This window comes from Homo sapiens, unplaced genomic scaffold (genome assembly GCF_000001405.40).
Source record: "Homo sapiens unplaced genomic scaffold, GRCh38.p14 Primary Assembly HSCHRUN_RANDOM_CTG1".
Taxonomy (NCBI): Eukaryota; Metazoa; Chordata; class Mammalia; order Primates; family Hominidae; genus Homo; species Homo sapiens.
Window position 1 is genome coordinate 137,706 of NT_113901.1, and position 12,385 is coordinate 150,090.

The following is a 12,385-nucleotide window of genomic DNA, read 5'->3' on the forward strand; positions in this document are numbered from 1 at the left end:
ATAGGTGCAGCAAACCACCATGGCACATGTAAAACTATGTAACAAACCTGCACTTTCTGCACATGTATTCCAGAACTTAAAGAAAAACAAACTAACAAAAATGCACTAAGGCTGAGGGGGAGTGGGGGTAAGGGCAGGAGTCAGGCTCGGGTGGGTGCGTCCTGGAGTTTTATCCAGTCATTGACACTGATGTGGGAACCGCCCAATCAGGCGCGCGGTGGCAGAGGAGAGGAAAGGAGGGCGTGGCTTCCTGCATTTGGCGGGATCTGTGTCTCTCGCTGGTGCTGGCACAAGAGCTTGGGATCCGTCTCCTCTTTCGCCTCCTGCACCTTGGGAGCCCCGGGCTACTCTCTCACAGCCCCTGTTGCCCTGTGATCTGTAGGTCCTTGGGGACGCATAGTTAAGGTGCCAGGACATCCTGGAAGCTGGGAAATGGTGAGTATACGGGGTTCGCCATCCCGAGAGGGGAGAACAGACTGTGAAACCGGCAGGACCGGCCTCCCCACGGTTAGCTCCGAGTCTCCCGCAGCTTGGCCCTCAGTCCCCTGTGGCTGCAAGATGGCCGCTGGGCCAGCAGCGAGGGCCCCCACGTCCCGTCCGGCCCATCCGGTCCTGTCCCTGGGCAGCGCCCTGCTCTGCGCCCACAGCCATGAGTATTTCCCAGATTGTTCAGGGAGGCCTGGTGGGTCATCAGGGAAAAACCGCGACTGGGTGTTTGCGTGGGAGGAGCTGCGGCCCGTGGGGTCCCCAGTCTCTCTTGTTAAAAATTAACGGGAGTCTATGTTAAAAGGTTCATCAGTTTATCTGAACAAAGAGTGATTGGTGAAATGGAAAGCACCCAGCCATGATTTCTGGTCCACCAGAGGGGCATAAAGGAAAGGCTTTTATAAGATGCATGAGAAAGCAACCCAAATTCAAGAATTGGTTCCAGTTATATGGTAGCCTTATTTGAACTATCCAGATGGAAATGTCCTGGTTACATATTCAGAGGTTAATTGCATGTTTGTCATGGGTTAAACCTGCATTTTGCTTCAGGCTAAGATAGTGTTTTATAGGAAATATATTTGAGTTAGGTTTTAGATTTTTTTTTGTTTGTTTTTTGCTTTTTACCTATGAACACAGGGCACTAGAGCCACTTTAGACTAATTTTCTGATCTTTAATTATTTTAACACTCCAGAGGAGGACTGGTTTTCTCCTGTGTTTTTTTAATGTATGGCAAGTGGAACCTCTAATCGACCACCCTGTTTTTCATCCTAACTCAGGCTTGCAGTAAAATTATCAGTTCCCACTTTCTTTGCTGCATTCTCAAATGCAACACATGAGACCAGCTTTCCCTTGCCAATTTACAATGCTGTTAACTATATGTCCTTTATTATACATTTCATTAAAGTTTTCTATTATTTGGTTTCTTTCTACTTCTCCCTACAGTTCTGGCAATATTTGCTTTTTATATTTAGAAGCCTCCCTTTTGGGTGCATAAATATATAAAGCTATATTCTCTTGAGAAATTAACCTCTATTATTATTGTATGGTAAACTCATTTCATGCTTGTGAGAGACATTGCTAGAAAGTCTATTTTGTCTAATTTAAGCATTACCGTTGCACTCCTTTGGTTATTGTTTGCATGGAATATCATTTTCTATCCTTTCACTTTTAGCCTATGCTCTTAATTCATAATTGAGTCTCTTGTAAGCAGCATATTACGAGGTTTAAAAGATTAATTTATCCACTCTGTCTGCTTTAGTCTCTTTTGGCTGCTATAACTGAATATCACACACTGGTAATTAATAAAGAATCGAATTTTATTTGACTTATGATTCTGGAGGCTGGGAAGCCAAAACAACATGATACTGGTATATGTTGAAGGTCTAGTTGCTGGATAATAACATAGACAAAGATGTGAGGGAGAGAGAGCTTTTTTTTTTTAATATATAACAGATCCATTCTTGTTAAAATTAGCCCATTCCCATAATAAGAACATTAATCCATTCATGAGGGCAGAGTTCTTAGAGCTTAATTAATTTTTAAAGGTTCCACCTCTTAATTCTAACATGTTGGCTATTAAATTTTATCCTAAATTTTGGAGATGACATTCAGTGTACAGCAGTATCTGTTTAGTAGATACTTTAATCTTTTTATTTGTAAGGTAGTGATAGGTAAGGAGTTACTATTGTAAATTTGTAGTTTTCTGTCCATTTTAAGTTTGCTTCTTTTTTTTCTGGTTCTGTCTTTCCTGTGGTATTGTTCATTTTTGTTGAGACAAAGTTATGCTTTCTTGCTCAGACTGAAGTGTAGTGGCATATCACAGCTCACTGTAGCTTCAACCTCCTGGGCTCAAATAATCCTCCCACCTTAGCCACCCAAGTAGCTTGGACTACAGACACGTACCGCAACACCCAAGGAGATTTCATCCTTCCACCTTGGCCTCCCAAAGTGTTGGAATTATAAGCAGGAGACACCATATCCAATGTGTAATTTTTGTTGTTTGTGTATGCTTTAATTACTTTCTCTTTTTCTTTACTGCAGTTTTTTTTTCCTAGTGGTTATCATGAGACTTAGGTAAAACATCTTGTATTTTAATAGTCTAGTTTAAGATGATAACAATTTATAGTATTCTGAAATTCAGTATGTATTTACCATTTTAGTGACATTTATACTTTAGTATTTTTCATATTGTTAGTTAGCATTTCATCATATCAATGTGAAGATTTCTTCCAGACCATGGCTGGAGAAGGAAAGAAGGTGTGTTTTGCCTGACTCAGTGACTATAGAGAGAACCAAGTTCTGCAGGCCTGTCACCTAAGTCTCAGGTGAGTATGAATTCTCTTGTGTTTTTCACAGATTGTTGCAGTGGCAGGACCAAGGTCAAATGAGTTATAGCCAAGTCTACAGTAAGATGTGGCAGTATTCTGTTTTGAAGCCGGGACCATGATTGGCAAGCTTGCCACTTGGTCAAGTGCTCACCCTCTGAAAATGTCTTCCTTGGTCTTTGCCTCCAGCTGGGTGCCACAAACTCTGAACTGGATTTCAAGGCTTTCATGAATGCACTTACGTTTGCTGTGGCAGCTGCATTATGTCGTGGGGGATGTGGATGCAGAACCTCACATTCTGTCGTCTTGCTTATGTTACTCTCCTTTATGTTTCACTTTCTCAAATGAATGTCAAGCAGGTGATTTTCAGATTCAAAAGTTCTAAAATAAATTGCTCAAATTTATACATTATGTAAGCTGTTAATAAAATTTCTTGTAGGTGCTACATATTTGTTAAAATTTTTGGTTGTAATTTTAAGCTCACTGTAGGCAGAAAGGAATCATTAAGATTTCTATTCTTTTTTAGTCTGTATCTAAATGACCATATATTTTAATTCCAAATATTTACTTTATACTTCAGTAATGCTCATTGTATTTTGCAAAATTTATATTGTTCTTTTATTTGAAAATATAAGGCTTTTTTTAGCTCCTGAAAGCTATATTATAGTCATATAGTTTTATTATAGTATTTGATAAGAAGAGCAGCAACATATTGAGAACAGATAAAATTCTGCTGTCTTTTTAATGATTATTTATTAAATTCTTCTCATTAGAGCCTATTATTAATGATTGTAATGTATTTACTGTATAATTTTTCTGCAATTTATTAAATGCCAATGACTTCCAATGTCTGCTTTTCATGACTGCACACAGTTTAAAGCTGTAGATATCTAAAGGGTTATTTTTCAGCCCGGCATGGTGGCTCACGCCTGTAATCCCAGCACTTTGGGAGGCCAAGGTGGGTGGATCACGAGGTCAGGAGATCAAGACCATCCTGGCTACCACGGTGAAACCCCGTCTCTACTAAATATAGAAAAAATTAGCCGGGCATAGTGGTGGGTGCCTGTATTCCCAGCTACTCGAGAGGCTGAGGCAGGAGAATGGCGTGAACCCAGTAGGCGGAGCTTGCAGTGAGCCGAGATGGCACCACTGCACTCCAGCCTGGGCGACAGGGTGAGACTGTCTCAAAAAAAAACAAAAAGGGCTTATTTTTCATTGTATATTTATGTTGTATTCAGGATTTTATGCATTAAAATCTCTCTTCTTATTTTCAGTTCTGTGTTGTTGTGTTTCTTTTCTGGGGGGGTATGTTTTCTCAGAGCAGTTAATTGTATTTTTGCTTTTAAAGCTTGATATCATGAGTTGAATGATAATTTTTTAACTCGGTACACATTATGACAATGTGATATTTAATTTATATTTGAATTAGCTGTGTTTGTTGCTTATAGATATATCTATGTGTTTTTCACCTATGTAAGTATGTCATTTTTTTCATCTTTTTTCCTTGTTTTTTTTTTTTAAGTTTCAGATATGCTTTCTTTTTCTTTTTTTTGTTTTTTTTTTTTTTTAAAGAGAATTTTAAAACAGAGTCAAATGAACAAAAATCAGTTATTTGTCCTCTTGCAGGGCGGGGAGACCTTCCTTCCCCACGGGTTTGAGGCTATGGCTAAGTGGTGAGCCTTGGTGAGACGCAGAAAGGATCCATCCCAGGCACTTGGCTAGAGGTAAGTAAAAATAGCCTTTGGGCCAGAAGACCTGATAGTTTGGGTACTCGTCTGGACATAAGTCCCCATCTTCCCAGAAATGTCGTCTTTTGTCTGCAACAACTGGCTGGAGAAATATTTCAGAAAGATGTGTGCCTGGAACACCCAAAGGCATACCTTTCCTTTCTCCTTGGCATAGGCCTTGCAGCACTGAAGAAAGACCAGGTTTGCAACGGAGCCTTCAATACTCTTCATCCCTATGGATCTCAGGGGCTCATAGGGTGACAGGAGAGGAGACAAGCTAGCTTGGGAAGAGTCTTTGTCCTTCAGCTTCTCCTCTACTGAAACACTATATACTTGGGGCCACAGTTCATAACAAAACACACATGCTGTCTTTCTTTCTCTCACACCCCCATCTCGGGAACCCAACAACTTGATGGCAGGTAGCTCTGGGTATCCTTGGTCTGGCATTCACCCACTGGGCATCTAAGCTGTCCTAAAGCTCTTTTCAATCACTTCTCACTGTTTCCAGGCCCATGTGGGTAGGTGTTCCAGCCTTCACTCTTTCAGGCTGTTCATAAAGGCACAGTGTGGGAAAATCCCCTACTGTGATGGCCATTGCTGGGAAGCAGGGAAGGTTAAGGGCCCACTGCTGCCCAAGGCTAGTGTAGACACCCTCTGCTCCTCCACTCATCTCCTCAAATAATGATATCAGGTGCAGCAGCTGCTGTCTGGAATGTTATCAAACCAGGACTGCACAGGCACTGCATTCTCTGTGTGGAAGATGTAAGAAGCAGGCGAGTTGTCCAGGATGAGTTTTCCTCAGGTCCCTCCCCAGATGGCTGACGTCCTTGACATAGCAGCCCTGGTGAAACAAACATGACTCATGGGACAGGCAGCCCCAGACCATCCCATACCCGTCCAGCTCACCCGTCACAGGATCTGCCTACTTGTTCAGGCTGGGAAGAAGAGAGCAATGACGAAAACACATTTAAACATTTCCTCCATTCATGTCAGGAACTCATCCATATAAGGCCTCATGAGCACATGGATCTGGTGCATGGTCCCCTCAAGCTCTACAGGCACTAGGCAGTCAGCATTGCTGATTGGCTTAAAGGAGCTATGCACAAGGGTTTCATCCAGGTCAGTGACCATACAGATCCTTCCTTGATTTTTCTCTGTCACCTCTGGGAGCAGGCAGGTTCCTGGGATCTGATAAAACTGATATTGGAGACGCTGGAGCTGATCCGACATAGCAATGGTGTTGACTCCCTCCTTATGTGTGGATTGCTCAGCGGGGGAACTTGACTGTCCAACATGCTGGGTGCAAGAACAGCAGAAAGGGGACTTTTAAGATGTGGCAAACATGAGGCCTCTTCGGAGAGGACTTTGGAAACCAGGCCTTGTTTGGTAAGGACCAGGGCATCTTCCCTCCATGCCTGGGTGATGATGGAGCCTTGTTCCATCTAACAATCCTGAGGGCTGGGCTGGGGGGCATGGGCTGGGGCCTGATTCAGTTCCCGAGATTCTGACCTCCACAGCTGTTCACATACCCCTTCTCCTTTCCATACTGGCCGGGAAGGGAGGTGGCTTGTAGGGAGGGTGGTTGGCCTTGGCAGCGGCTCCCCAGTGTGCCCCCATCCCCGATTCCCCCAGCGAGAGCTTCAAGATCCTCAGTTTGGGTCTAACATAGAGAATCCACCAGAAACACATTTTTTTTCAAGTTTTATTTTAAGTTCAGGGGTCCATATGTGATAAAGTTTATTTTTCAACTTTTATTTTAAGTTTAGGGGTCCATGTGCAGAGTATGCAGGTCTCTTACATACATAAATGCGTACCACTGTGGTTTACTGCACAGATCATCTCATCACCCAGGTACCAAGCCCAGCATCCGCAGCTATTCTTCCTGATGCTCTCCTTCCCCTCCCCCATGCCATGAAACAGGTGTCCAGTGTGTGTTGTTCTTCCTGATGTGTCCATGTGTTCTCATTGATCTGCTTCTGCTAATAAGTTAGAATAATAATAGGCGGTGTTTGGTTTTCTGTTCCTGCATTAGTTTGCTGGGAGTAATGGCTTCAAATTCCAACCATGTCCCTGCAAGGGACATCATCTCATTACATTTTATGGCTTCATAGTGTTCCATGGTGTATGTGTACCACATTTCCTTTATCCAGTGTATCATTGATGGGCATGTAGATTGATTACATGATGTTGCTATTGTAAATAGTGCTGCAATGAACATTTGTATACATGTATTTTTAAAATAGAATTATTTATATTCCTTTGGGTGTAATGGTATTGCTGGGTCAAATGGTAGTTCTGCTTCTAGGTCTTTGAGGAATCTCCACACTCTCTTCCTCAATGCTTGAAATAATTTACACTCCCACCAACAGTGTAAAAGTGTTCCCTTTTCTCCACAACCTCGCCAGCATCTGTTTTTTTTTTTTTACTTTTTATTAATAGCCATTATAATTTGTGTGAGATGGTATCTCATTATGGTTTTGATTTGTATTTATGCAGTTATCAGTGATGTTGAGCTTTTCATGTTTGTTGGGCACATGTATGTCCTCTTTTGAGATATGTCTGTTCATGTTCTTTGACCCTTTTTTAATGGGGCCTTTTTTTTTTCTCTTGTAAATTTTGTTAAATTCCTCCTAGATTCTGGATATTAGACATTTGTGAGATGGATAGGTTGCATAATTTTTCTCCCATTCTCTAGGTTGTCTGCTCTGATGATAGTTTCTTTGGCTCCGCAGAAGCTCTTTAGTTTAATTAGACCCCATTAGTCAATTTTTGCTTTTGTTGCTATAGCTTTTTGCCTTTCTGTCATAAAGTCTTTTCTCATGCCTATATCCTGAATGGTATTATCTAGATTTTTTCTTCTAAGGGTTTTATAGTTTTGGGTTGTACATTTAAGTCTTTAATCCATCTTGAGTTAATTTTTGTACATGGTGTTAAGAAGGGTTCCAGTTTAAATTCTCTGCATATGGCTAGCCAGTTCTCCTAGCACCATTTTTTGAATAGGGACACCTTTCCCTAATTCCTTGTTTTTGTTAACTTTGTCAAAGATCAGGTTGTTGTAGGTTTTTGGCTTTATTTCTAGGTTCTCTACTTTGTTTCATTTGTCTATGTGTCTGTTTCTATACCAGTACCATGCTGTTTTTGTTACTGTACTCTTCTAGTATAGTTTGAAGTTAGGTAGAGTGACACTTCCAGCTTTTTTTTTTTTTTCTTAAGGTTGGCTTGGCTATTTGGGCTCTTTTTTGGTTCCATATGAACTTTAAAAGTTTTTATTTTTCTAATTCTCTGAAGAATGTCAGTAGTTCAATGGGAATAGCATTGAATCTATGAATTACTTAGGGCCATATGCCCATATTCATGATACTGATTCTTCCTCTCCATGAGCATGGAATATTTCTCCATCTGTTTTGTGTCCACTCTGATTTCTCTGAGCAGTTGTTTGTGGTTCTCCTTGAAGAGGTCCTTCACTTTCTTTCTTAGCTGTATTCCTAGGTATTTTTTTCTCTTTGTAGCAAATGTGAATGAAAGTTCATTCATGATTTGTCTCCCTGCTTGCCTGTTGTTTGTGCATGGGAATGCTAGCTACTTTTGCACATTGATTTTATATCCTGAGATTTTGCTACTGTTGCTTATCACCTTAAGAAGCTTTGGGCCTGAGACAATGAGGTTTTCTAGATGTAGGATCAGGTCATCTGCAAACAAAGATAATTTGACTTCCTCTCTTTCTATTAGAATACTCTTTATTTCTTCCTCTGGCCTGATTTTCCTGGCCAAGGCTTCTGATACTATATTGAATGGTAGTGGTGAAAGAGGGCATTCTTTTCTTGTGCCAGTTTTCAGGTGGAACGTTTCTAGCTTTTGCACATTCAGTATGATATTGGCTGTGGGTTTGTTGTATATGGCTCTTATTATTTTCAGGTATGTTTCTTCACTTCCTAGTTTATTGAGAATTTTAAACCTGAAAGAATGCTGAATTTTATTGGATGCTTTTTCTGCATTTATTGAGATAATCATGTGGTTTTTGTATTTAGTTCTCTTTATGTGATGAGTCACATTTATTGATTTGCATATGTTGAATCAACCTTGCATCCTGGGGACAAAGCCAACTCCATTGTTGCGGATGAACTTTTTAATGTGCTGCTGGATTTGTTTTGCCAGTATTTTATTGAGGATTTTTGCACAGTGTTTACCAAAGACATTGGCATGATGTGTTGTTGTTGTTGTTGTTGTTGTAGTATCTATGTTAGGTTTTGGTATCTGGATGATGCTGGCCTGATAGAATGAGTTAGAGAGAACTTCTTTGTCTTCAATTTTTTTTGGATGGTTTTAGGAGAAAAGGTACCATCTCCTCTTTGTACCTCTGCTCAAATTCAGCTTGCTTGGTAGGCTAGTTTTTACTGCCTCAGTTTCAGAACACATTATTGATCTATTCAGGGTTCAGTCTTGTGGAGGGTTTATTTTGCAAGGAAATTGTCTATTTCTTCTAGATTTTCTGGTTTATGTGCATACATATGTTTATAGTGTTCTCTGATTGTTGTTCATATTTCCATGGGATCAGTGATGATATCTCCCTTATTATTTCTAATTGTGTTTGGTTCTCCTTTCTTTTCTTATTTATTTGCCTAGCTAGTGTTCCATCTAGTTTATTAATTTTTTTCATAAAAACAGCTCCTGGATTTGTTGACTTTTTTTTTTGGAAGAGTTTTCAGTGTCTCTATCTCCCTCAGCTCTACTTTGATCTTGGTTATTTCTTGTTTTCTGCTACCTTTCTGGTTAGTTTTCACTTGGTTTTCTAGTTCTTTTCATCAAGATGTTAGGCTGTTAATTTTAGATCTTTTAGTTTCTCTTTTTTTTCTTCTTGTGGCAGAGTCTCACTCTGTCACCCAGGCTGGAGTACAGTGGCATGATCTCCGCTCACTGCAACCTCCACTTCTCAGTTTTAAGTGATTTCTGCTGTCTCAGCTTCCTGAGTAGCTGGGATTACAGATGTGCATCACAAAAACCAGCTAATTTTTGAATTTTTTTTGTAGAGGTGGGGTTTTGTTGTGTGGTCCAGACTGGTCTTGAACATCTGGCCTTAAGTGATTTGCCTACCCCAGCCTCCCAAAGTGCTGGAACTACAGGCATGAGCCACCACACCCAGCCCTTTCTATCTTTTTGATGTGGACATTAGTGCTATAAATTTCCCTCTTTTCTTGGTTTCCAGTGATTATTTTATTCTATCTTGGTGAGTCATCAGGGAAATAATCTTAAATTTACAATCAACATATAGTTTAAATCCATATAATTGTGTGAGAAGAACCCTTTGTTATTTGAAGGTGATGTTTGAAAGATTTTCTAACTGTGCCTTTTAGTTAGTCTTAAATTTCTAATTGTAGTTAAAAACATGCCATTGTCATTTCTGACATTTTAAGTATATGGTTTAGAAGTGGTTAGTATAGTTCTATTGTTTTGCAGTAGGTTTTAGATAATTTGTGTCTTACAAAAGTAAAAGTGAATACTCATTACTTATGAAAGAAGTTAGTTAGCTTGCCTTAGGTAGATAGCAAGAGAAGAGTCCCTGGAAAGTCCCTGGTCAGTGCCTCATCCCTGCATAACATATAAAGAAGCCTGGAAAAAATCAAGCTGCAGACACTAACAAGGGAACTAGCATATGTTGTTGTGCTTGGGGACATGCCCGTGGCTGCACAGATAGAAAAACCTCTGGCCCATTTGGATAAAAACTTGTAGAAACCTCCAGCTCACTCAGATAAAGGAACAAGAACGACCTAGCATAGAAATGCCTTTGTTTGGCCAGGCACGGTGGATCATGCCTGTAATTCCAACAATGTCGGAGGCAGCTGTGGGCGGATCATCTGAGGTCGGGAGTTTGAGACCAGCATGACCAAGATGGACAAACTCTGTCTTTACTAAAAATACAAAACTAGCCAGGCATGGTGCTGCATGCCTATAATCCCAGCTACTTGGGAGGCTGAGGCAGGAGAATCGCTAGAACCCAGGAGGCGGAGGTTTCTGTGAGCCGAGATCGCACCATTGCACTCCAGGCTGGGCAACAAGAGCAAAACTGCAAAAAAAAATAAAAATAAATAAAAAAAGAAAGTACATCTCAAAAAAAAGAAAGACAAGAAAAAGAAAAAAAAGAAGCACTTTTGTCTTTGTACAGTCAGTGGGCTCCCAGGAAAATGTTCCTTCTCTTTTTGTTGGCATGGGCACTGTGGGATCTGGTGCATTCCGGTCGACACTCTCGTTTATTTGGACTGTAAGTCTGACCTCTATGAATAATTACTTCAGCCCCTGAGTGCTCCCGGGCCAAGCTCCTTGGCCAAACTTTCACCTTAGCTTCTGATAAGTCTTGGGCCAAGCTAAGCAGCATCTATCAATCATCCCTTCAGCTCCTGATTGATCCCGGGCCAAAGGCCTGGGCCAAGCTGAGCCACACGTTTTTCAAGACAGCCTGTGAACTAGGCACATATCCTTCCCTTCCCAGTCCATAAAAACCCTGGACCCAGCCTCGTAGAGGGCACCACTTTCAGACACCTATCTCTGCTGGCAAAGAGCTTTCTTCTCTTGCTTCTTAAACTTTCACTCCAACCTCACCTTTGTGTTCACGCTCCTTAATCTCCTTAGAGGTAGAACAAAGAACTCTGGATGTTATCTCAGACTACGAGAGACTGTTACATCTTGGTGCACTGCTGAGACTACGACACTTGGTTTCTTTGAGTTTGACTAAATATTTTACATGAGTGTAATTATACAGCTTTCCTTTTTGACTGTCTTATTTTACTTAACAGAATGTTTTGAAGATTTGTCCTTATTGTAGTACTTTTCAAGATTTCCTTATTTTTAAGGCTGAATGCTATCCCAGTGATTGTACGTGCCCTGTTTGCTGAATCTACTCATCCTTAAGGGTACATTTGCTTCCAGGTAACATGTTTGTGAGTAATACTACAATGTGCATATATCTATTCCATGTTCTGCTTTGTCTGTTTGGGATATTTTTCATACACTGATTCAGTACCATGTGTATTCCCTTGCTTTTGTTGTCTCATCCGTTGATGCTACGTCCCCCAAATTATTGCCACGACCAGTTGTAATGAAGCTTCACCCTTCTGTATTGTGCTAGGAATTTTACAGCTATAGGTTTTACATTATAGTCTTCATTCATTTTTTAAAATTGACACATGTAATTGTGCATATTTTGGGGAAACAATTATATATATGTGTTGTATAACAATAAAAATCAGTACTTCTATATTTGTTGCCTCATGCATTTGTTATTTTTGTGGTGAGAATATTCAAAAGCTCCTTCTCTAGCTATTTTATTTTATCTTTATGTATTAATTATTTTAGAGACAGGATCTTGCTCTAACACCCAGACTGGTGTGCAGTGGTGCAATCCTAGCTCACTGTAACTTCAAACAGTCTTCTAACCTTAGTTTCCCAATTAGCTGAGACTACAAGAAGCTGCCACCATGCCTGGCTAATGTTTTAATTTTTCATACAGACGGGGTCACACTATGTTGTCCAGGCTCATCTTGAACTTCTGACGTCAAGTGATTCTCCTACCTCAATCTCCCAAAATGTATGGATTGCAAGAATATGCCACCAAAACTGGTCTCTTTTAGCTATTTTGTAATATGAGATAACTTTTCATTAATTATTATTATTCTACTGTGTAATAAAAAACAAAAACTTATTTCCCCTATCTAATCATAACACAATACCTGTGAAGCAGACTTTTCCCATCCTCCTGCTTCAGTCTCTGGTAACCCCTGTTGTACTCTTTGCTTCTATCAACCCTTTTTTTCAGGTTCCTCAAATGAGTGAGATAATAAGATCATAAAGTATTT

The 12,385-nt window shown here is 40.3% G+C and overlaps 1 long non-coding RNA gene and 1 pseudogene across 9 annotated transcripts in view; one reads left to right on the forward strand and one right to left on the reverse strand.

Moving 5' to 3' along the window:
• The first annotated feature begins 225 nt into the window (after positions 1 to 225).
• The window catches only part of LOC124905312 (uncharacterized), a 35,497-nt gene continuing 23,337 nt past the window's right edge, over positions 226 to 12,385 (forward strand). For 3 of the 9 annotated variants that reach the window (XR_007068502.1, XR_007068498.1, XR_007068497.1), the window contains exons 1-3: positions 253 to 435; positions 2,709 to 2,811; positions 4,438 to 4,535. This is a non-coding gene — a long non-coding RNA (uncharacterized LOC124905312). Of the gene's footprint in view, positions 436 to 2,681; positions 4,085 to 4,437; positions 4,536 to 11,383; positions 11,790 to 12,385 lie in introns of those variants that run through there. The other 6 variants (XR_007068505.1, XR_007068500.1, XR_007068501.1 and 3 more) reach the window with 5 other exon arrangements.
• Positions 5,118 to 11,398, reverse strand: LOC124905311 (carboxy-terminal domain RNA polymerase II polypeptide A small phosphatase 2-like; annotated as a pseudogene).